This window comes from Homo sapiens, chromosome 15 (genome assembly GCF_000001405.40).
Source record: "Homo sapiens chromosome 15, GRCh38.p14 Primary Assembly".
Taxonomy (NCBI): Eukaryota; Metazoa; Chordata; class Mammalia; order Primates; family Hominidae; genus Homo; species Homo sapiens.
This window is the reverse complement of record NC_000015.10, coordinates 48,721,242-48,742,882: the sequence shown is the minus strand read 5'-3', so window position 1 is coordinate 48,742,882 and position 21,641 is coordinate 48,721,242. Positions and strand designations below refer to the sequence as shown.

Genomic DNA, 21,641 nt, shown 5'->3' with positions numbered 1-21,641 from the left:
GTATCCTTAATATAACAGAGATGGTGAAATTCTAGATGTAGGATGTAGTCTTGGATTTATTAAAAAAAAAAATAAAAGTTAGCCTTAGCTAATAGTAGTCCTAATCAAAGATATATTGAGTTAAAAAAAAAAACTTGAAAGCTGTGGGCTATGTTTATATGTAAATTTCAGAGGCCAACTATAAGTCCCATCACCCTCCTTGTAGTCTCATTTTGTACATATCTCTTATGAATTGTAATATTATATTTAGTTAGATGCTCAAAAAGTGCTGCTGAAAGAATTTTCAATAAATAATGGAACGTAAATTTTCAGAGCACTAGAGAAGAATGAGTCTCTCCAGCTCATACTGCCTCCTTTTCTTCTGTCTTTGTGTTTGCTTTTTCCTTTCTTTCTGCTTAACCTTTTCTCTATATTTTATTTTTCTCTTTTCCTAACTGGACATAATGTACAATTGAAATACTAAGTTTCTGTACCTCATATTTACAGTATTTTCTTCGCTAAGTGTTTTAGAATATGACAAAATTTAGCTGGGGAATATGCCATGTTTCCTTACTATATGTAGCTGTCATCATTCCGAAAGAACTTATAGAGTACTTCTCATTTGAGTCTACCAAAATGATGATCTAAAATATTCCATTTTAATGACTGTGGAAAGTATAATGTTTAAACTATACTTAAAATCACTTCATCTACCAGAAAATTGATCTGAAGTCTGCCCCTCCTGTTTCTGAAAAAGTGCTAATAAACATACATTCTGTGGGCATTTTCTCACTTCCCTATAGGTGACATGCTTCGTTATATTCAGGAGAGTAAGGAACGAGCTGCAGAAATGGTAAAAGCAGAGGTACTGCGAGAACGTCAAGAAACCGCCCGAAAGATGCGCAAATATTATTTGATTTGCCTCCAACAGATTTTGCAGGATGATGGAAAAGAAGGGTGAGTTCAGTCTGAACAATGTGTCCTGAGATTACCAGGACAACATGTTATCATTTTTAAAGCATTTTCCTTAACCACTAAATTAACTATTTCTACATGATCAGCCATAGGGGGTTAAGAGAGGTTTATGGCTGTGCTACCCTAAATGTTGGCAGAGCCAATAGGAAAACAGAAACCATGGGGCTAAGGCAACTCATTTTTTCCTTTAAACTATATTTTTAATATTCTGGAATTCCCCACAGGGCTGAGAAAAAGATTATGAATGCTGCTAGCAAACTTGCTACAATGGCAAAATTACTGGAAACACCTATTTCTAGTAAGTCCCAAAGCAAAACTACACAGTCAGGTATGTCAAAGTGAGTCGCCAAATGGTTTTTCTATCTTTTCTTCTTTAGCTATTTAATATTTTCAGTATGAAGAAGGCAGGGAAGGTAAGGAGTGAGAGTTAATTTGTGAAGTTTTGTATGTTTTACTTAAACTAGAAGTTTACGCAAAAAGAGTACACAGTTTCCAATTTAAGTAGGCAGACTGAGCATGCCCATCAGTTTCCTATTGCTGCTTCCATCCCTCGAAATGATAGAAAAGATTTTAAACAGCAAATAAAGAATGAGAAAAAGAAGAAATTATAAGTGGGTTTTAAAAAGTTGCAGTGGGCCAGGCATCATGGCTCACACCTGTAATCCCAGCACTTTGGGAGGCTGAGGTGGGAGGATCCCTTGATCCCAGGAATTTGAGGTTGCAGTAAGCTATGATTGTGCCACTGTACTCCAGCCTGGGTGACAGAGTGAGGCCCTGTCTCAAAAAAAAAAAAAAAAAGTTTGCAGTGGATAGACCAGAAGCTACAAGAAATCCCTGAGAGAAAGAAGACAGTATAGGATGGAAGATGGAAACCTCAGTTCAAAACCACCGGGAGATGACTATTGCAATTAGGAGCAATATCAAAACTGTTCCACATATGAGGGTGATATGTTCCAGGAGAAATAGAGGGCCTAGGGGATATGAATGGGGTAATTAGTTGGTGTTCTAAACCAACAGCAACCAGGTGGGGTTAATCCTCTCTTTATTTCTTCTTCTCCCCTCCTTTCCCCAACCTCAATATTGAGCTGGGCAACAACAACAGGAACAAAGAATCTGGGAGCAGGGCAGTGCTCCAGGTGGCTAGCCATATCAAGCAGGAACTGGGAGCCGACTTGCCTTGGGAGGCTGAGATGGGAGGATCACTTGAGTCCGGGAGGTCAAGGCTGCAGTGAGCTGTGATCGCACCACTGCACTCCAGCCTGGGAAACAGAGCAGACCCTGTCTCAAAAAAAAAAAAAAAAAAAAAAAAAAAAGTAAGAGTAACCAACAAAAACATAGAACGTATAACTTTAAAACTGGTAAAGGAAAAACTTGGAAAAAAACATTTTCAATCTAACAAAATCAGGAAAGAGGAAAAAAACCTAGAGAGCGTGGGTAAGTAGGACATAATAGTAGTTTGAAACATCAACAATCACACTAAATATAAGTAGGTTAAACTCATATAAGTTATTAAAAGACCACAACTTTCAAATAGGGTTTTTAAAAATGTGGAAATTTGCTATTTTTACAAGAAGAACATCTAAAATTAAAAATCAGGGGATGGAGAATGATATACCAAGCAAATGCAGTGTTGATATTAGATAAATTATAGAGGTAAATAAAAGATTAGATAAATTAGAGTTAGCATTAAAAGGGACAAAGCTGATAGTTCATAATGATAATGGAATAGTCTCCCAAGAAACTGTAATTGTTTTCTTTCTGTAGATCATACAGCTTTATATAAAGCAAGAGCTGATAGAAATACATGAAAAAGACTGGTAAATTCCCAATCACACTGAGAGATTTTTAACATATCAGTGGGGAAATGGGGTTCTTGAACCTCTGGAAAACTTGAAGCTGAGATTGTTCAGGGGTCCATGAGTCTGATGTTGGTAAACATTCCTCATGTACAAGCCAAAGATTATTTGTATAAATTTTGGAATGGTGATGTGAACCTTAGGTATGAAAAGGCAGTAACATATAACAAGAAAATAATTTTCTAGATCTGGGGCAACAGTGTGCAAATAATGTCCCCAGTAGAGAAGCAAATCCTTTTCATGGACTCTAGGGCTTGCTACTCTGAGATACAATGCCTCTAATTTCATGCTATGTGGCTGCTTTGTCTTTGATCAGATTTAGTGTCTTAGGTAATTAAATCAGAAAGTCTATTTAGCTATTCTAGAAGTGTATGTGTAGGTATTGGGTGGGTGGGGTTCTTTGAGCGAACTTGTCAGAAACTCCATTCTTAACATCAGAATCAGGGCAGGATTGAAAACATTGTGGCTGGATCTTGAAATTGCTATAACATCTATTGCAGAAAATGATAGGTCAGATGGATAGCAATAATAATTATATATCAGATCTTAGTAACAAAATTACCAAGCTTTATCTAGTGGATATATGTAAAAGAATATTTTTAAATGTCCAGCATTGATGTATTTTCTTTAAGAATTATTACAGTATATAAGCATTCTTTGGGAATACAGTATAAAAACATAAATTTTTTCTTATTTTTAATTTTTTTTATTTTTTTGTTCAAGGATGAATCTTCCCTTTAAATATTAATTTTCTCTTAATTTCGTGTTTCCTTGCACATAATAGCACTGCCCCTAACTTCAGAGATGCTGATTGCAGTTAAAAAATCAAAAAGAAATGATGTGAATCAGAAAATACCATGTTGTATTGAAAGCAAATCAAATAGTGTAAACACCATCACCAGAACTCTGTGCGAACAAGCTCCCAAGAGGAGGGCAGCTTGTAACTTACAAAGGCTGTTAGAGAACTCAGAGCATCAGAGCATAAAGCATGTGGGATCCAAAGAGACACATTTGGAATTCCAGTTTGGGGATGGTAGTTGCAAGCACCTAAACAGTTTGCCAAGGAATGTTTCTCCTGAGTTTGTTCCTTGTGAAGGTGAAGGAGGCTTTGGTTTGCACAAGAAGAAAGACCTACTCAGTGATAATGGTTCTGAATCACTTCCGCATTCAGCTGCATACCCCTTTCTTGGAACCTTAGGAAATAAACCCTCACCTAGATGTACCCCTGGTCCTTCTGAATCAGGATGCATGCATATAACCTTTCGCGATTCTAATGAAAGACTTGGTTTAAAAGTATATAAATGCAATCCACTAATGGAAAGTGAAAATGCTGCATCTGAGAAAAGTCAAGGTTTGGATGTTCAGGAACCTCCAGTAAAAGATGGAGGGGACCTTAGTGACTGCTTGGGCTGGCCTTCCAGCAGTGCAACCTTATCCTTTGACAGTCGTGAAGCATCATTTGTACATGGTAGGCCACAAGGAACTTTGGAAATACCAAGTGAATCTGTTAAATCCAAACAGTTTTCACCATCCGGTTATCTTTCAGATACAGAGGAAAGTAATATGATTTGTCAAACAATGAAATGTCAGCGTTATCAAACTCCATACCTGTCAGAAGAAACCACGTATTTGGAGCCAGGAAAGATCAGTGTGAATTGTGGACACCCATCTCGTCATAAGGCTGATAGATTAAAGTCAGATTTCAAAAAACTGAGCAGTACATTACCATCTTCAGTGTGTCAGCAGCCTTCAAGAAAATTAATTGTTCCGCTATCTAGCCAACAAGATAGTGGCTTTGATAGCCCATTTGTTAATCTAGACTAATTATGGTACAGTATTTAAGAAGAATCATTAATATATTAACAAAAATGGAAGGGAAGACCTCATACTGAAAAAAATTGTGAGCCCTGCCTCTTTTGAGATGTTTTAATAACATCTGTTATATAAGTAAAGCATTCTTCTAAAATTGCTTGAGATATTTATGTTGCCTTAATATTCCAAAGGCCTGATGGTGTATGTATAATCTGCTTTTGTGTGGTGCTTATTTTTGGTTTCTAAACCATCTATTTTTATACTTATAAATTGACTCACTCTGCAGTGTTAACTTATTTAAATAAACTTGCATATGGTCTGTAGAATTGTTATGAATTATTTTGTGGTTCAGAATACAGAAATGTCATATTGGCATCATGTTTGAAATTCACCCAGAAAAAAACATAAATTTTGATTATTTGTATGTGTTAGTCAGATTTAGTTTTTGAAATTAGTCATGTTTAATGAGGCTATGAACTTAATCTACATAGACTTTTCCTAGCAATATCTACTCAAAATTTTGATCTTTTTTTCAGTTAGAGGTTTTCCAGGGTTTACTACAAAATACATAGCTATGTCCTGGTTTTATTATTTAAATATTAGTCTGAATTTTTTTAGTTCTTACTTGCATTATTTCAGATCATCTGTGACATCCAAAAACTTTGTCTCTTTTATGGCTTCACATTTGTTTTTTCATCTGAAATACGACCTTTTGAAAAATTGAGATAAGTTTTGTCATGTAGCAAAAAATGTAAAACGATTAGATTTTTACATTCATTTATAGTGCAGAACTGGCTAATTAATGCTCTAGGTTAAAGGTTATAATTCTAAACTGAAGAATACATGCAGAAATGAATGACTACCTAAATATCATTGTTTTTAGGTGAATTCTTTTTCAGATCCCTAGCGATGGGTATGAACATTTAGCTGTATGCAAGTGCTTCCGAAAACAGTTAACTATAGCTTTCTCTCACATCTCCCACACCTACTATATTATGGATTGTATTTGGGGGTTAATCTAGTGTATTTTTCCACCCAGAGCCAGATAACTTAGGTGGTGATGGGGAGACGGCAAGATGCATCCTCCTCCTCCTGATAACCATCTCTAAAAGCAAGAACCGAGAAGGAAAACTTTTTGGGCTTGGAAAGCTCTGTCACCTTAACTCTTGACCAGGGATAAATAAGTCTAAAAATTGGTCCTGGACTTCAGTGCTTGAATTCACATACAGCTATAGTAAGGAACAAACCATCTTGTCAAAGTCTCACTTGTATTCCTGAAGATACAATGCTCCTTCTCCAACAGTTAGGCTGTCATCTCTCACTCTAGAAAAAAACTCTAAAACAGCCAAGTTTATGCTCCCTATGGATCTGGTTGGTGCTTGATCGTTTTAAGCCCTTGTTTTTAGTAAACTTAGAATCTAGGCTCGTTGCTCACCTACCTTTTCCACTTGGTTCAAAATCCATGTCAGTTATTTAAACTCTCAACATTAAGGTTGAAATTGGAAGTTCTCTTGCTTTCTGCTCCTTTTAGAGTATCCTTAATCTTTTTTGATACTCATAATCTCAATAGGATTAAGTTACTTTATGTCATACATCCTATATCCAATTGGTTGGAGATAGGGTGTGGTATAGGGTGTATGACAAGGTAACCTAATTCTATTATGATAAATATGAAGGTATCCACTTATTAGTGTGCAAATGAAGGGACTACACAGCCAAACTATGACTAGTGGTGTACATTGGTTTGAAAGGTCATGGCAGAACAAAAGGGAGGCAGGAGCCCTGTAGATATCATGATCACATAAATCTCACTTTGTCATGATATTTAGCCCTTTTTTTAATGTTGCTGGATTTTTATTTTATTTTATACTTTGTTAAAGATTTTCATGTGTATGTTCTTGAGAGATATTGGTCTCTTGTTTTCCCATGCTCTCTGTCTTGCTTTGGTAAAAGGGTAATACCAGTCCCATAGGGTGAGTTGGAAAGTGTTTCCTTGCCTGTGTTTTCTGAAAGAATTGGTGTAGCATTGGTATTACTTCTTCTTTATATATTGGATGGAGTTTACTAGGTGAAGGCATCTAGCCTGGGCTGGTGGTGGGGGTGGTGCAGAAGTGTGGATTTTAAGTAATGTATTTTCTTGTTATAGAGCTATTCATAATTTCCATTTTTTCTTTAGTCAGTTTTGGTAGTTTTTGGTTTTTGAGGAATTTGGCTATTTTATCTAAATTGTCTAATTTGTTGACACAGTTAGCCATAGTATTCTCATAATCCTTTCATTTCAGTAGGCTTGATAATGATGTCCCCCTTTCATTCCTGATTTTGGTATTCTGTGTCATCTCATTTTTTTCTTAGTCTATCTAAAGGTTTATCAGATTAGTTGATTTGTTTTCCCCCAAAGAACTTTTGGGTTCTTCTCTTTTCTCTTGTTTTTCTATTGCCAATTTCATTGATTTTTCCCTCTTCCTTCTGTTTGCTTTATGTCTAATTAACTGTTCTTTGTTCTTTTTTTTAAAATTTATTTATTTTTGAGATGGAGACTTGCTCTGTCGCCAGGCTGGAGTGAAGTGGCGCGATCTTGGCTCATTGCAACCTCCGTCTCCCGGGTTCAAGCAATTCTCCTGCCTCAGCCTCCCGAGTAGCTGGGACTACAGGCGTGTGCCGCCATGCCCAGCTAATTTTTGTATTTTTAGTAGAGACATCGTTTCACCATATTGGCAAGGCTGTTCTTGAACTCCTGACCTCAAGTGATCCGCCCACCTCCGCCTCCCAAAGTGCTGGGATTACAGGCATGAGCCACCACGCCTGGCCCTTCATCGATTCTTAAAGTGAAAGTTTAGATTATTGATATGAAACTGTTCTCTATTGATATAGATGTATAAAGCTCTGAATTTCTCTCTAAGCACTGTTTAAGTTGCACCTCATATGTTTTGATATGTTGTATTGTTGTTTTCATTTAGTTCAAAATATTTTCAAACTTCCCTTGCGATTTTTCTTTTGACCCACAGATTATTTAGAAGTATGTTACTTCATTTCTAAGAATTGCAGATTTTCAAAGTTTCTTTCTTATTTATTTTTAATTTACTTGTTTTCAGATAATATACTTTGAATGATTTCCATCCTTTTAAATTTCTTGAGACTTGTTTTATGGCCTGGCATATGGCCTATCCTGGAATGTTTCACATGCACCTGAAAAGAATGTATATTCTGCTCTTTTTGGATGGAGTATTCAAAAATGTCAGTTCAAGTTGGTTGATAGCATTGTTCAAGTCTGCTATAGCCTTGCTGATTTTATTCCTATTTGTTCAACTGGTTATTAAGAGTGAGATATTGTAATCTCTGGCTGTAATTGTTAAACTTTTTTCTTTCAATTCTGTCAGTTCTTGCTTCATGTATTTTGAAGCTTTGTTGTTAGGTATATATACCTTTATATCTGTTATGCCTTTCAGATGAATTGGCCCTTTATTATTTTAAAATATCCCTCTTTGTATCTACTATATTTCTTGTTTTAAAAGTCCATTGTGTCTATAATTACTACAGCCACTGCAGCTCTCTTATGATTACTGTTTGCATGGCATGTCTTTCTGTTTTTTTCCTTTTAACCTATTTGTATCTTTTAATTTGAAGTGAGTCTCTGGAAGACAGTATAGTGCTGGATGTTGCTTTTTTTTTTTTTATCAGAGAAGCTTTGATTGGAGTTTTTAGGTGCATTAAAATTTACTACAATTTTGTTAGGTTTGCATTTTCCATTTTGCTATTTGGTTACTGTGTATCTTTCGTTATTGAATTGCTCTTTTATTGCCTTCTTCTGCATTAAACAGATATTTATGAGGGTACCATTTTAGTTTTTTTAACCTTTTTTTTTTTAGCTATTTTTCTAAGTGGTGTCTCTACTTATCATAGGTATCTTAACTTACTACGGCCTACTTCACATGAATATTGACTAACTTCTGGTACAATATAGCAACTTTGCCCCAGTTTAGCTTCATTTCCTTGCCCCTCCTTTGTGCTATTATGTCTTATATATGTATGTGTGTATATATATATATATGTATATGTATATATGTATATATTACAGTGTTATAATTATTGCTTTATACAATAAAGCAATATGTCTTCTAAAGAATTTAATAGAAGAAATGTATATTTATAGTTCTTTATATTTACTGACGTAGTAATCATTTCTGCTGCTCTTTCTTTGTTCCCATGGATTCTAGTTGCCAGGTCTGTTGTCATTTCCTTTCATCTATATTCTACTTCCTTTAGTATTCCAAGTAAGGCAAGTATGCCAGCAACAAATTCTCTCAGTCTTTGTGGATTTTGGAATATATTTCAAATTTATATATGAAGGACAGTATGTGATATATTTAGAGTTCTCGGTTGACTTTTTTCCTCCAGCATTTTGAATATGTCATTCCACTGCCTTATGGTCACCACTATTCATGATGAAAAGTCAACTGTTAATCCTGTTGTTCTTTATATATGATGAATTGTTTTTCTTATACTGTTTTTAAGATTTTCTCTTTGGCTTTCAACAGTCTGAGCATGGTGTGTCTAGGTCTGAATTTGTGTTTATCCTACTTAGAGTCTGTTGAGCTTCTAGGATTTCTAGATTTATCCTTTTAATACAATTTAGGCAGTTTTTTGGCCACTATTTCTTCAATTATTTTTTTCTGTCCTCGTTTCCTCTTTCTGGGGCTTTCATATACATTAATATGCTTACCATTGTGTCACAGGTCTTTGAGGCACTGTGCATTCTTCTTTAATCATTATTGTTTTTCATATTGGATAATTTTATTAATCTATGTGCAAGTTTCCTGATCCTTCTGCCATCTCAATTCTGCTGTTTAGCCTATCTAGGAATTTTCATTTCAGCTATTGAACTTTCTGACTCTAGAATTTTCATTTGGCTCTTTTTAAATTGATGCATAATAGTTGTACATATTTTGGGGATAGACATATTTTGATACATGCATGCAATGTGTAATGATCGACCAGGGCAACTGGGACATCCATCACCCCAAACAGTCACCCCTTCTTTATATTGGGAACCTGCCAATTCCTCCAGCAATTTTGAACTTTACAACAAATTATTGTTAACTATAGTTACCCTACTATACTAGAGTGGTTGGTTAATGGATACAAAAACATCATTTTATATATATGTATGTATATATTTTAAGACAGTATATCACTCTGTCTCCCAGGCTGGAGTACAGTGGTGCAGTCATGGCAGCCTTGAACTCCTGGGCTCAAGTGATCCTCCCCGCTCAGCCTCCCAAGTAGCTGGGACTACAGGTGTATGCCACCATGCCTGGCTAATTTTTTTTTTTTAATTATAAGTAAGGGATCTCACCATGTTGCCCAGGCTGATCTCGAACTCCTGGCCTCCCAAAGTGCTGAAATTTTAAGCATGAGCCACCAGACCTGGCCACATTTGGCTCTTTAATAGTTACTTGTTTAAAAATAGCTACAAAGCAGCTATTACAAATGTGTTTTAAAAATTAAGGTAAAATGTTTAAAGAATTAAAAGCATGACTTTTTTTTTAACCAGAGATTCATCATTGATCATGTATTCTTTTTTTTTCCTTTACTCTAAAAAAAAAAAATACATGTGCAGAACATGCAGATTTGTTACCTAGGTATATGTGTGCCATGGTGGTTTGCTGCACCTATTGACCCATCCTCTTAAGTTCCCTCCCCTCACCCCAAACCCCCAACAGGCCCTGGTGTGTGTTGTTCCCCTCTCTGTGTCCATGTGTTCCCAATGTTCAGCTCCCAATGTTCTCACTCACTTATGAGTGAGAACATGCAGTGTTTTGTTTCCTGTTCCTGTGATAGTTTGCTGAGGATGATGGCTTCTAGCTTCATCCACATCCCTTGCAAAGGACATGATCTCATTCTTTTTTATGGCTGCATAGTATTCCATGGTGTGTATGTACCACATTTTCTTTATCTAGTCTATCATTAATGGGCATTTGAGTTGGTTCCATGTCTTTGCTATTGTAAATAGTGCTGCAGGAAACATACGTGTGCATGTGTATTTATAGCAGATTGATTCATAATCCTTTGACTATATACCCAGTAATGGGATTGCCTGGTCAGATGGTATTTCTGTTTCCAGATCCTTGAGGAATCGCCATACTGTCTTCCACAATGGTTGAACTAATTTACATTCCCACCAACAGTGGAAAAGCATTCCTATTTCTCCTCAACCTCGCCAGCAACTATTGTTTCCTGACTTTTTAATAATCACGTGAGATGATTGGCGTGAGATGGTATCTCATTGTGGTTTTGATTTGCATTTCTCTAATGACCAGTGATGTTGAGCTTTTTTCATATGTTTGTTGGTCACATAAATGTCTCCTTTTTAGAAGTGTCTGTTCATGTCCTTTGCCCACTTTTTGTTGGGGTTGTTTGTTTCTTGTTGGGGTTGTTTAAGTTCCTTGTAAATCTGGATATTAGACCTTTGTCAGATGGGTAGATTGCAAAAGTTTTCTCCCATTCTGTAGGTTGCCTGTTCACTCTGATGATAGTTTATTTTGCTGTGCAGAAGCTCTTTAGCTTAATTAGATCCCATTTGTCAATTCTGGTTTTTGTTGCAATTGCTTTTGGCGTTTTTGTCATAAAGTCTTTTCCTATGCCTATGTCCTAAATGGTATTGCCTAGGTTTTCTTCTAGGGTTTTTATGGTTTTGGGTTTTACATTTAAGTCTTTAATCCATCTTGAGTTAATTTTTGTATAAGGTGTAAGGAAGGGGTCCAGTTTCAGTTTTCTGCATATGGCTAGCCAGTTCTCCCAGCACCATTTACTGAATAGGAGATCCTTTCCCCATTGCTCGTTTTCGTCAGGAAAAACGTGACTATTTTAAAATAGCAACTATAATACAATATTCCCTGTTGAGTCATTGTCATCATATTTTCATCTTATTTTTTTCTTTTCCATATATTTTTCTGGTAAATATTTTTTGTCTGGTAAGAACACAGGAAGGTAAGATATACTCAACAAATTTTTAAGTGCACAATACAGTGTTGTTAACTATACATACAGTGTTTTACATCAGATCTCTAGAACGTTTTCATCTTGAGTAACTAAAACATTATACCTGTTGAACAGTAACTCCCCATTTCCCCTGACAGCCCCCTTCTATTCTGTTTCTGTGAGTTTGACTATTTTAGAAATCTCATGTAAGTGAAATCATGCAGTATTTGTCCTTTTGTGACTTTTAGTCTTTATTCAACATCCAAGCACATGCATAGTTTTTCTTGACAGCTTTTTTCTTTGATATAAATCAGACTTTCTGTTTCTTTACATACGCTATAAATTTGTTGAAAACTGGAAATTTTACGTAACATATTGTGGCAACTCTGGATTTGGTATTTGTTCCCCTGGGGGTTGTTATTGCTGGTTTATTATTATTGTTGTGTTGTTTCATTATTTGCTTAGACTTTATCTGCAAAATCCTCTATGGTGTGTGCCTGCTGATTTCTCCACTGTTGTTTTAATTTGCATTTCTAGTTTTTAGCTGGTCATTTTAGGGGATTTCTATGCATCTGTATTGCTTAATGATTATTCAATTATTGGTTGAAGGCTGTATTGAAAAACCTTGAGTCAGTAGGTCTTCATCCTATGCTGATGTGTCTGTGCATTCAATGTTCAGGCAATTTTCCAGTCTTCCTCCACTTTGCTTCCCTCTGAGCGCTTCCAGGTCTTCCTGCTCATGTGCACATCCTCATTAGTTCAGGGATATGTGGTGAGCATGGGCTTTCTTAGGTTTTCCCTACATATGCACACAGCCTCCCACTCCAGCAGAGATATGCGGAGAGCTTATTTAGCCCCTCATTTCTAGACTTTCTTCCTGTTAATTTAAAAATTAGTCTGCCCATCTCTTGCCCCAAATGGGACTGCAATCTCAGACTAGCGGAGCTATGCATCTTCCCTGTTTTTGTCCCTCTAACTTTACTGTTTTTAACTAACCCTACTACTGGGCATGGGCTCCTTTCCTTCTACTCCAAATCAAGTGAGCCCACTGTAGCAGAGAGGCTGCTAATGTTCACTGTCATTCCTACACTGTTAGCACTACCTCACTGATCAAGCTGGGGAGCGGAATGGGAGCAGCCCCTGGTAAGAACGCCTCAGAGTCTCACTGATCTTCCAAAGTTCAGCAGCTTCTCAATTTTGGTTGTTTCCCTTTGGTTGATTTTTGGAGCCCTGAAATGGTTGTTTTTCTTCTTTTTTCAGTTTTGTAGTAATTTTTTTTGGGGGGGGCCGGTGGGGAGCTTCTTCACTCCAGTATCACCAGAAATTTCCTTATTTTTATTTATTTGTTACGTACTGGAGTAATCTCTTTTCTGTGTATTTATTAATTTTTTCTTTATTTTCCCCAACTTTTTATATTGAAAATCTTCATAATCTGTAGAAAATAAACACCTATATACCCTGCATTTAGATTTACCAATTGTTTACTTTCTACATTTGTTTTATATTTGTCTGTAAATATACATATGTATGCATGTACATAGTATGTACATGTATATAAAAACATTTTTCCTTAACCATGAAGATTATTTGCAGACACCCTGAGTATTCCTTCCTAAATACTTCAGCATACATTTTCTAAGAACAAAAACATTTTATTTCTTAAATACAATTGTCATATTTAGGACATTGAATATTGATAAATATTTATATACATATACACTTAAAAAATTTTTTTTATTTAGGAGATGGGATCTTGCTCTGTCACCCAGGCTGGAGAGCAGTTGCTCAAATCACTGCAACTGAACCGAGACTTCAACTGTTGGGTTCAAATGATCCTCCCCGCTCAGCCTCTTGAATAGCTGGGACTACAGGTACACAGCACTGCACTTGGCTAATTTTTAAATATTTTTGTAGACACAGTGTCTCGCTATGTTGCCTGGGCTGGTCTCAAACTCCTGGGCTCAAGCAATCCTCCCACCTTAGCCTTCGAAAGTGTTGAGATTACAGGCGTGAGCCACTGTGCCCAGCCAACATACATACATTCTATATTCAAATTGCCCTAATTGTGACAATAATGTGTTATAACTTTTTTTTAGATCTTTGCTGTTCACCTTCAAGCTGAGGACTTACCACTTTTCTTCGATTATGAAAAATGCTCAGCCAATAGCTATTCATTAAACAAATATTTATGAGGTGTCAACAACTGATTGTTAATGTTCTAGGGTGATACAATGCTTATCAAAACATGAGTTTCTACCTTCATGGTTCACACTCTAGTCAGGGGAGACAGTAAATACACATAACTTATGTAGTATGTTAGAAGTTGGTAAGTGCTATGGAGAAAATAAGGGCAGGTAAGGGTAAAAAGAGGAGTAAAGAGGGAGTGGTTACAAATTTAAATAGAATAGTGAGGGTTGGTCACGCTGAGATGGTAACATTTGGGTAAAGATTAGAAGGAAGCCACTCTAACTCCACCATTCCTTCTGTTTCCTGCTTCTGGAACTTCTCTTAGACATAGCCCCATCCTCGTTTCTCTTCATTGTTCTTTTGTATACTTTTATTTTTCTGTGCTACTTTGTGGAGGTCTTTTTTCACTGGAAGTACTATCTTCCAGTTTGCTAATTCTGTCTTTGTTTGTTTAATTTATTGAGTTTTGAAATTTCACTTCCGGGATTTCTAGTTGGTGTTTTTACACCTAGACTTTTTGTAAAATTTCTACCTGTTTAGTAATCTTGTTTTCTAATAGATTCTATGTATTTATATTTTTAAAGACTAAGAAATTCTTAAAGTTACTTCTAGAGTAATTTATCATGTCACTTGGGAGTGAGTTCATATCCAAATTGTTGCTTTTTGTTTGTTTGTTTTTGCCTTACACAGAATTAGTTTCCCCCACGCGTGTGGAATTTTGGCTTGCAGTCTAACTTGCAGTCTAACAGTGAAGAAGATTTTTTTTCTCCTTCTGAGTTCTCTCCCACCACTGTCTAGTTCTTTTGGTTGCCTCCATATGGGCTCCATATAGTACCCAGTCCAAGACTGGGTCTTACATAGGTGATTTCTGATCTAGTGGGGCTATTCTAAAGCTAGTCACTGAGCCAGCAGGCAGCTTGGCCCAGTTCCTGGCTGCAAAGCTCTGCCTTTAACCTCTAGGCTCTCTAGATACATAGTTTTAATATAACTTGTGGCCTCAGGTGGAGAGTGTAGCTTTTTCAGCCTCCCTGAGGTAAGGAACCCCTACCTGGACTACTGCTTTAGACAGCAAGCTTGTCCTTTGTTCCTTTCCTCAGTTGGATGCTTTTAGTCCTTATTATTCTGCAGAAACTCCTGGCCACCTTTACTACTTTTGGTTTTTTTTTTTTTTAAGCCGAGTCTCACTGTGTCGCCCAGGCTGGAGTGCAGTGACGCAGTCTTGGCTCACTGCAATCTCCACCTCCAGGTTCAAGCGATTCTCCTGCCTCAGCCTCCTGAGTGGCTGGGACTACAGACACGCACCACCACTCCTGGCTAATTTTTGTATTTTTAGTAGAGATGGGGTTTCACCATATTGGCCAGGCTGGTCTCGAACTCCTGACCTCAAGTGATCCACCCACCTCAGCCTCCCAAAGTGCTAGGATTACAGGCATGAGCCACCGTACCAGGCCTACCTTTACTACATTTAGATACAGAACAGGTAGTACCTTACTTTTCAAGTCCTCAGGGACATTTTGTGTTTTAAAAGTCTTTTTTCTCTATATACTTTTTCCATCATTGTTATATGTTGGTAGATGTTGGGTCCTTCCAAAGTGTAAACTTAGAATGCCATCAAGGACCTAAAGTCTGCTTTGTCATTAGCTCTGTGTCTTAGCTGTTTCTGTAGCCTGTCTGGGCCTCAGTGTTTGCTATTATTAAGGTTTAGGCATATGATTACCTAAAGATTCAGGTAAACCAGATTTAAAAGTATGTGAAGGCCGGGCGCGGTGGCTCACGCCTGTAATCCCAGCACTTTGGGAGACTGAGGCGGGCCCATCACCTGAGGTCAGGAGTTCAAGACCAGCCTAGTCAACATGGTGAAACCCCGTTTCTACTAAAAATACAAAAATTAGACAGGTGTGGTGGTGGGCGCCTATAATCCCAGCTACTCGGGAGGCTGAGGCAGGAGAATTGCTTGAACCTGGGGGGCAGAGGTTGCAGTGAGCCGAGATTGTGCCATTGCACTCCAGCCTGGATAAAAAAGCGAAACTCCCTCTAAAAAAAAAAAAAAATAAATAATAAAAAAAAAAGAGTACATGAAGAATAGTGAGATAGGTAAATTGAGGCTAGATCATGATCATGGATGGTCTTGGATGTCAAAGCCAAAGAATTCGAAATTTGGTTCATAGAAAAGGGAGAGTTGTTGAAGTTTTGGTAGCATGATTTAGAGAGATTAGGGAAGCCATATAATAGGAGGACTTGGAGGAACAGAGCAAACAGCCAAGGAACCAGGAGGACAATGTCCAAGGACAGTCAGGCAAGGAACAAGGCCAGAGCCAGGGTAGATGTGGTGGAAATGAAGAGGTGACAAGATTGAGAATATGACACACCCATGCTTCCAGGACCTACTGAGAAGGGATTTAGAGCCTGGGTGTTTGTGAAGATGACTCTGCTATCAACAGTACTGGAGAATCAAGACAGGGTGGATTGAAGGGACCATGCTCTCCCTTGAGTACTGAAGTGCACAGTCCTTTGGTGGGCACAGTCATGAGAACAACTAATTTACAGATGCTAACTTGATGATGAGCATTGTGCCAAGCACTTCACTAACTCCTTTAATCCTCACAACAGCTTTTTGAGTGAGGCTCTGTATAAGCACTTTATGGTTGGCTAAAATCAAGGCTTAGAGAAGATAAGTAATTTGTTCATGGTTAACACAAGCTTGCAGCAGGCAAAGCCAAAAGTTATACCCAAGTCTTTTTTTTTTTTTTTTTTGTCTATGAAGTATGTATTATTTTGGCAAGTGATTTTTTCCTTCCTAAGAATAAGATGAACATGTCCAAATGTTACCTGTGCCAACTTCACAGATACAGAAGTATCTAGTCTTCATTTCCTCAATGCCCCAATTAGATGGTTCTAGTAAACGAATCAATATAGTTAAAAAAAAAAAATACAGGTTCAACAAAAGAGCACCATCCTATTAGGGAACTGAGTAACATGTGAAAATGAAGTTGTCATTATAATCAAAATGTTGCCCAAATTCTAACAAACCCAAGCTGTTATACTAGTACATGGACGCAGTCCATAGTGTTAACCTAAAGAACTCTGGGACAAGAACATTATTTGAAAAATAAACTCCAAAATTATACCTGTAATAAATGGTGAGACAGACCAATTTTAAAGCACAAGTGACATGTTACACTGTATTGCTTCTTGAACTTTCCAAACAATGCTTGTCCATGTCAGGTTTGGGCCATTCTCCTGCTAAGACAGAGAGCATTGTATTTATTCAAAAGCCCAGATTTCAATATCTTGGATAAAGAAATCTTCCTTCTTAGAAAGTGTACGATTCCCAAACGTTTTACAAGAATGGCTTCTTGCATGGTAGAGATCTCCATCAAGCCAAAGGGCAAATTCTCCTCCTCCACCACCGAAAGCTAGTGAATCCATGTCTCCTTTGATAAAAAACATGTTATCTCCTGTCCACTTAAAGACCTCAAACTCTGGACAGAATGTAAAAACAAAGGTCTCTCCAGTACCATAAAAGCCATCACTCACTTTAAATGGCTCAGCTGCTAACGCACCAAAAACCTGTCCATCACTGTCTTTAATTACCATCAGCACTGGGGTGTCTAAACCTGTCATTGTTCGATAAAGAGTTTTCAAGCAAGCTTGTGCCATGTTTTCCAGTACCATAAACAAGAGTCCGTGGATAGCCAATTGTTCTTGGTGGAAGATGCTTGGTAAGCTTTTCAATTTGATCTGGCAGTAAACTTTTCATTTGAGAATAGGTTTAGGTTTACCAAAAAGTTGCAAAGATATACAGAGTCTCTATACCTCTCACCCAGACTCCTCTGTTGTTAATGTCTTACATCACTATGGTAACTTTTTCACAACTAAGGAACCAACATTACATTTAAATATAGATGTATTTTTTTTTTCTTGTGACGCTAGAGGCCATGGCTTTAATCCCTATACTGTCTTTATTTGGTTTGGCTTACAGGTGAGCTGGAATTTATTTTAAAGGGGAAAGTCCTTTTCTTTTTCCGCTCCTTCCACTTCCCCTCCATGCTTCCAAGCAGGAAAATGAGTTCAGCAGGCTCCTCCACATGTGAAATCAGTTTAACTTGCTTTCTCAGCAGGATGTAGACGAGCAATAGATCTTGCTCTTTAGCAGGGATTTATAGAATATGACATTATATGAAGATTATGCTGCAGCTAGAAATTTACCAACACAACAGGAAAGCCTGTAATATTATAGAACCACCTTTTGTAATTTTAAAATTCAACGAGTAATGGTTCATCTTAAAAGAAAAAAGATATTTAGAAATTTTCTAGTAGTAAATATGCGATTTTTAAATCTCTTGATATAATTGTAACAACTTTTCCCCTTAAGGACCAGACCAGGAAATTAATTAGAAATCAAAATAGTAAAACATCATTAAATAGAAACTTTGTTATTTTCGAAAGTAAGATAAATGAATTGGCTTCTTCCACAAAGGTCAGCAATAATTTGGAAACTTTGAGAACATGTTAAATCTTGTGCTCTTAAAAATGTTGTCTGATGAGTAAATTAAGTAGAATCAACAAAACTTTTAAAACTTATTTTTGGTTTTGGTTCAGGCATAGCCCTTGTCTGAAATATTTCCTCATTTCATTTCATAATTTTATCAATCATGTTGTATATAGAATGTACTGGATGAAATTCTGCTTCTTATATTTTCTTGACCCTGTGCTCTTACACAAACTGTTTCCCTAGGAACGGTTAATAAAAATTGAAACACCCTATTTCACCCTATTCAATAAAAGTTGAAATATCCTATCTGTGTAAGAGCACAGGGTGAACTCAATACATGTATTATCACAGTGACCCTGTAGCTGTCAATGATTTCATTGGCTACCAATTAGTTTTCCTGGAAAAGTTTTTAAAAATGTAGTCCAGTGTCGCAATCTACTCTGAAAGGTCTTCAAGATTATTCATTAAACATGACAATGGATCAGTTATCATATTAAGCCCTATACCTACACTTTTGTCTTAATCCTTCCAACAATTTTTCAAACTAGGTCTTATTATCCTCATTCTATAGATGAGAAAGAAGGGAAGGAACTTATGCAAAGAGTCTCATGTGGCTGAACAGGAGTCCAAGGAAGCCATAGAGTTACTGCAAGGTGAATATGAACTCATTTGCTGGCCATGCATTATCTACAAATGAAAACGACAATATATCTCCAGCATCAATATGGCATCGTTTTCAAACATATGTAGATGCCGTTGCTATCATTAATAAGAGGACTTTATACTAAAAACATTTCGGAGTTGCTGCACTGTTCTGAAAAATATCCTGTTAAAATTGGATCAGACCTGTACTGAATAGTTCAGATCTAGTTAGTACAAAGCAGACTTCTCAGGTTAGAAGAGGTAGTGACTAGGATCAAACTTTGACATCAAATATGTTGCATATCTTTATTCTGTCACCTACTGGTGAGCCTAGATTCCACATCTGGAAAATGGGAACATATAGTGGACACTATTGGTTATCTACCCAACGTTATTACCTACTTCTTCCTTGTTGGCAGACCAAGGGGGGCATAGCTGTCACTTCCCCTCATGACTCAGTTTCAACTCTGTTGCTGACTCCTGTTTGGCCTGAGTAATCCCAGTGGCCTCAATTCCTGTTACCGTGACTTGTTTAGGGATGGGCATATGACTCAGTTCTGGACAATGCCATATAAGGGAGAGGCTGCAGGGCTTGTAGAAAATGTTTCTTTCTAAAAAGTATTTTCTTCCACACTGGAAAGAGCTGACTTTAAATGACAAATGTGCAACTTCTAGATCAGTGGTTAGAGCCATTTTTTAGATGTTACTGTGTCTGGTTGTAACACCTGGATTTGCAGCAACCATCTTGCAACACTGTCTTCCAAATGAATAGCTGTTATTAATGTTATTCACAGAAACATAAAAGGCCTCAGGCATCTGGGAAGGACTGGCCTCACACATCATTCATAAGTAAACTCTTTGCTGGCCTCCTATAAACAAGGACATGTCAATTGTTACTTTAGGTCTACCGTCTTAAATCTAGCTCCTAAAACTAAAGCCGTTTGATTCCACACTGATTATGTTGCTTACAAGCTTATCTTCCAGATGCAGAGCAAGGACAAGACAACATCAGTCATCTCCTTCACCTATCAGAGACAACTGCATAATTGATTCATTCTTTTCTCCTTTTTTTCTCTTCAAACATTCATCTTATCTCTGTAAAATGTAGATTTACTGGGCACTAACTAAAGTCTCAAGAGAATATAACCATTCGCCTTACCTTCCCCCCTTCCTGCATGCCTATCTCCCTTTAAAGAAATATATAAATTCTAAAGCTCCTAAAAACCTCTTCAGGAAAACAGCCACAGATGTGCCTGTGGCTCATGTTTTCCCAGATGCGCCCTAAAACTGGTGTAATAAACCTCCATCGACTGAGACTTTTGCCTCAGTCTCTCATTTCGATTATCAGTTCAAATGAGAATTTTTGCAAAGGAACTTACACTAACTGGAAAATAGTATGGACTCAATAATCAATGTTAGCTCTGAGTGACAATGATAAGGTGGTGCTTTTAGTTTCTTCAAGCCCCTAAATCTGGTGTGAAATCTCCCCCACTAAACACTGTCATTTCTTCTATGTTGTTTAGTACTCAATAAAAATTGCACATGGATATATCAATCTAGGTCAATATAGGACAACACAAATTTGTGTTCCCAGAATGCTGGGAGGTTGAGAAAAACCTAAAACCAAGTTTTAAGAAAGGCACATTCTTTTCTTCCCTTCAGATAAAAATATATTTGGCCCATTCCTCCAAAAACTAAGCAATATTCCCATCTGGAGAGAGAAAAAAGATCTCACCTATTGAAAGCAAATTATCTTCCTCAAGTCACTTCCTGAATATACTGTAGGAAGTTTACTTTCAAAGTTCTCTTCCCTGGAACAAATCAGATTATTTACATGTATTTGCCTGCTCTGAAGAAAAAACACTTGAACACCAGAAGGAAGAAAATCTGTACTTGCTCAAAGTCAAAATACCAAAGAATAAAGAAAGAGGTCTCCTTAGGAGAAATGAAAAGTTTTGTTCTTCTTGGAAGAAGTCTTCAAATATTTTAGAGCAAAATATATACAGGTATGAGTATTGGTATGGACACTAGAAGATTAAAAAAAGACCTCAAAAAATAAACATGTTTTGGCTTTAGTCCTTCAGAGTAATTAACATGTTGCTGTAGCTGACAAAATTTGTGGCCAGATAGAAACCTGCTAGTTGAAAAATTTGGAATCCTGTAGCCTCCCATCTCTGCCTAAGATCAAGGCCAAACATCTGCTCTCCTCCCACTTCCTGAGCCCTCAGCCTGTTTAGAGGAGTTGGGTCAGTTGTCTTGCAGAGAGGGTGCAAAGGTAAGTGGCAGAGGGGCCAAAGCCCAGTGCCAGGCTCAGCTTTCATAATGTGCCCTGTGATGGATGCTCAGTGTTCAGAACACCCAGCTGGCCAGAGAGAGGCTTTTGGAAACAACAGAGGATTGACGTTCTTCAGTACTCATTTTCCAGCAAAGACAAATATCTGATTATATAATAGAGAAGTTATGTCTTCTGGCACCCAAAGAACTGACCTACAATGACAAATGTGCAACTTATTAAGCAAATTCCATTGAGCCTGCAACACATACTAGTTGTTTTCTCAAGACACGTAGTTGCTTTACCACCAAGAACCCTTTCCTCAATGGTTCCAGCTGGCAAAACTCACTGTCATTTCAATCTATTGCTTTGTAATCACACAAACCTTCTCCGTGGGTTTTTCAAAATTAAACTAAGTTGATCTGCTCTGATTTCCCTTTGCTGC

The 21,641-nt window shown here is 37.2% G+C and overlaps 1 protein-coding gene and 1 pseudogene across 14 annotated transcripts in view; one reads left to right on the top strand and one right to left on the bottom strand.

Annotated features, from left to right (window-relative positions):
• Nucleotides 1–13,800, top strand: part of CEP152 (centrosomal protein 152) — an 81,987-nt gene extending 68,187 nt beyond the window's left edge. For 5 of the 14 annotated variants that reach the window (NM_014985.4, NM_001194998.2, XM_006720437.4 and 2 more), the window contains 3 exons: nt 783–936; nt 1,179–1,282; nt 3,595–4,945. In NM_014985.4, coding sequence (NP_055800.2) covers nt 783–936; nt 1,179–1,282; nt 3,595–4,634 — 1,298 coding nt within the window. In that variant the 3' untranslated portion in view covers nt 4,635–4,945. Of the gene's footprint in view, nt 1–782; nt 937–1,178; nt 1,283–3,594; nt 4,946–5,661; nt 13,302–13,342; nt 13,472–13,696 lie in introns of those variants that run through there. The other 9 variants (XM_047432254.1, XM_047432252.1, XM_047432253.1 and 6 more) reach the window with 6 other exon arrangements.
• On the bottom strand, nt 17,055–17,538 carry LOC645405 (oxidation resistance 1 pseudogene; annotated as a pseudogene).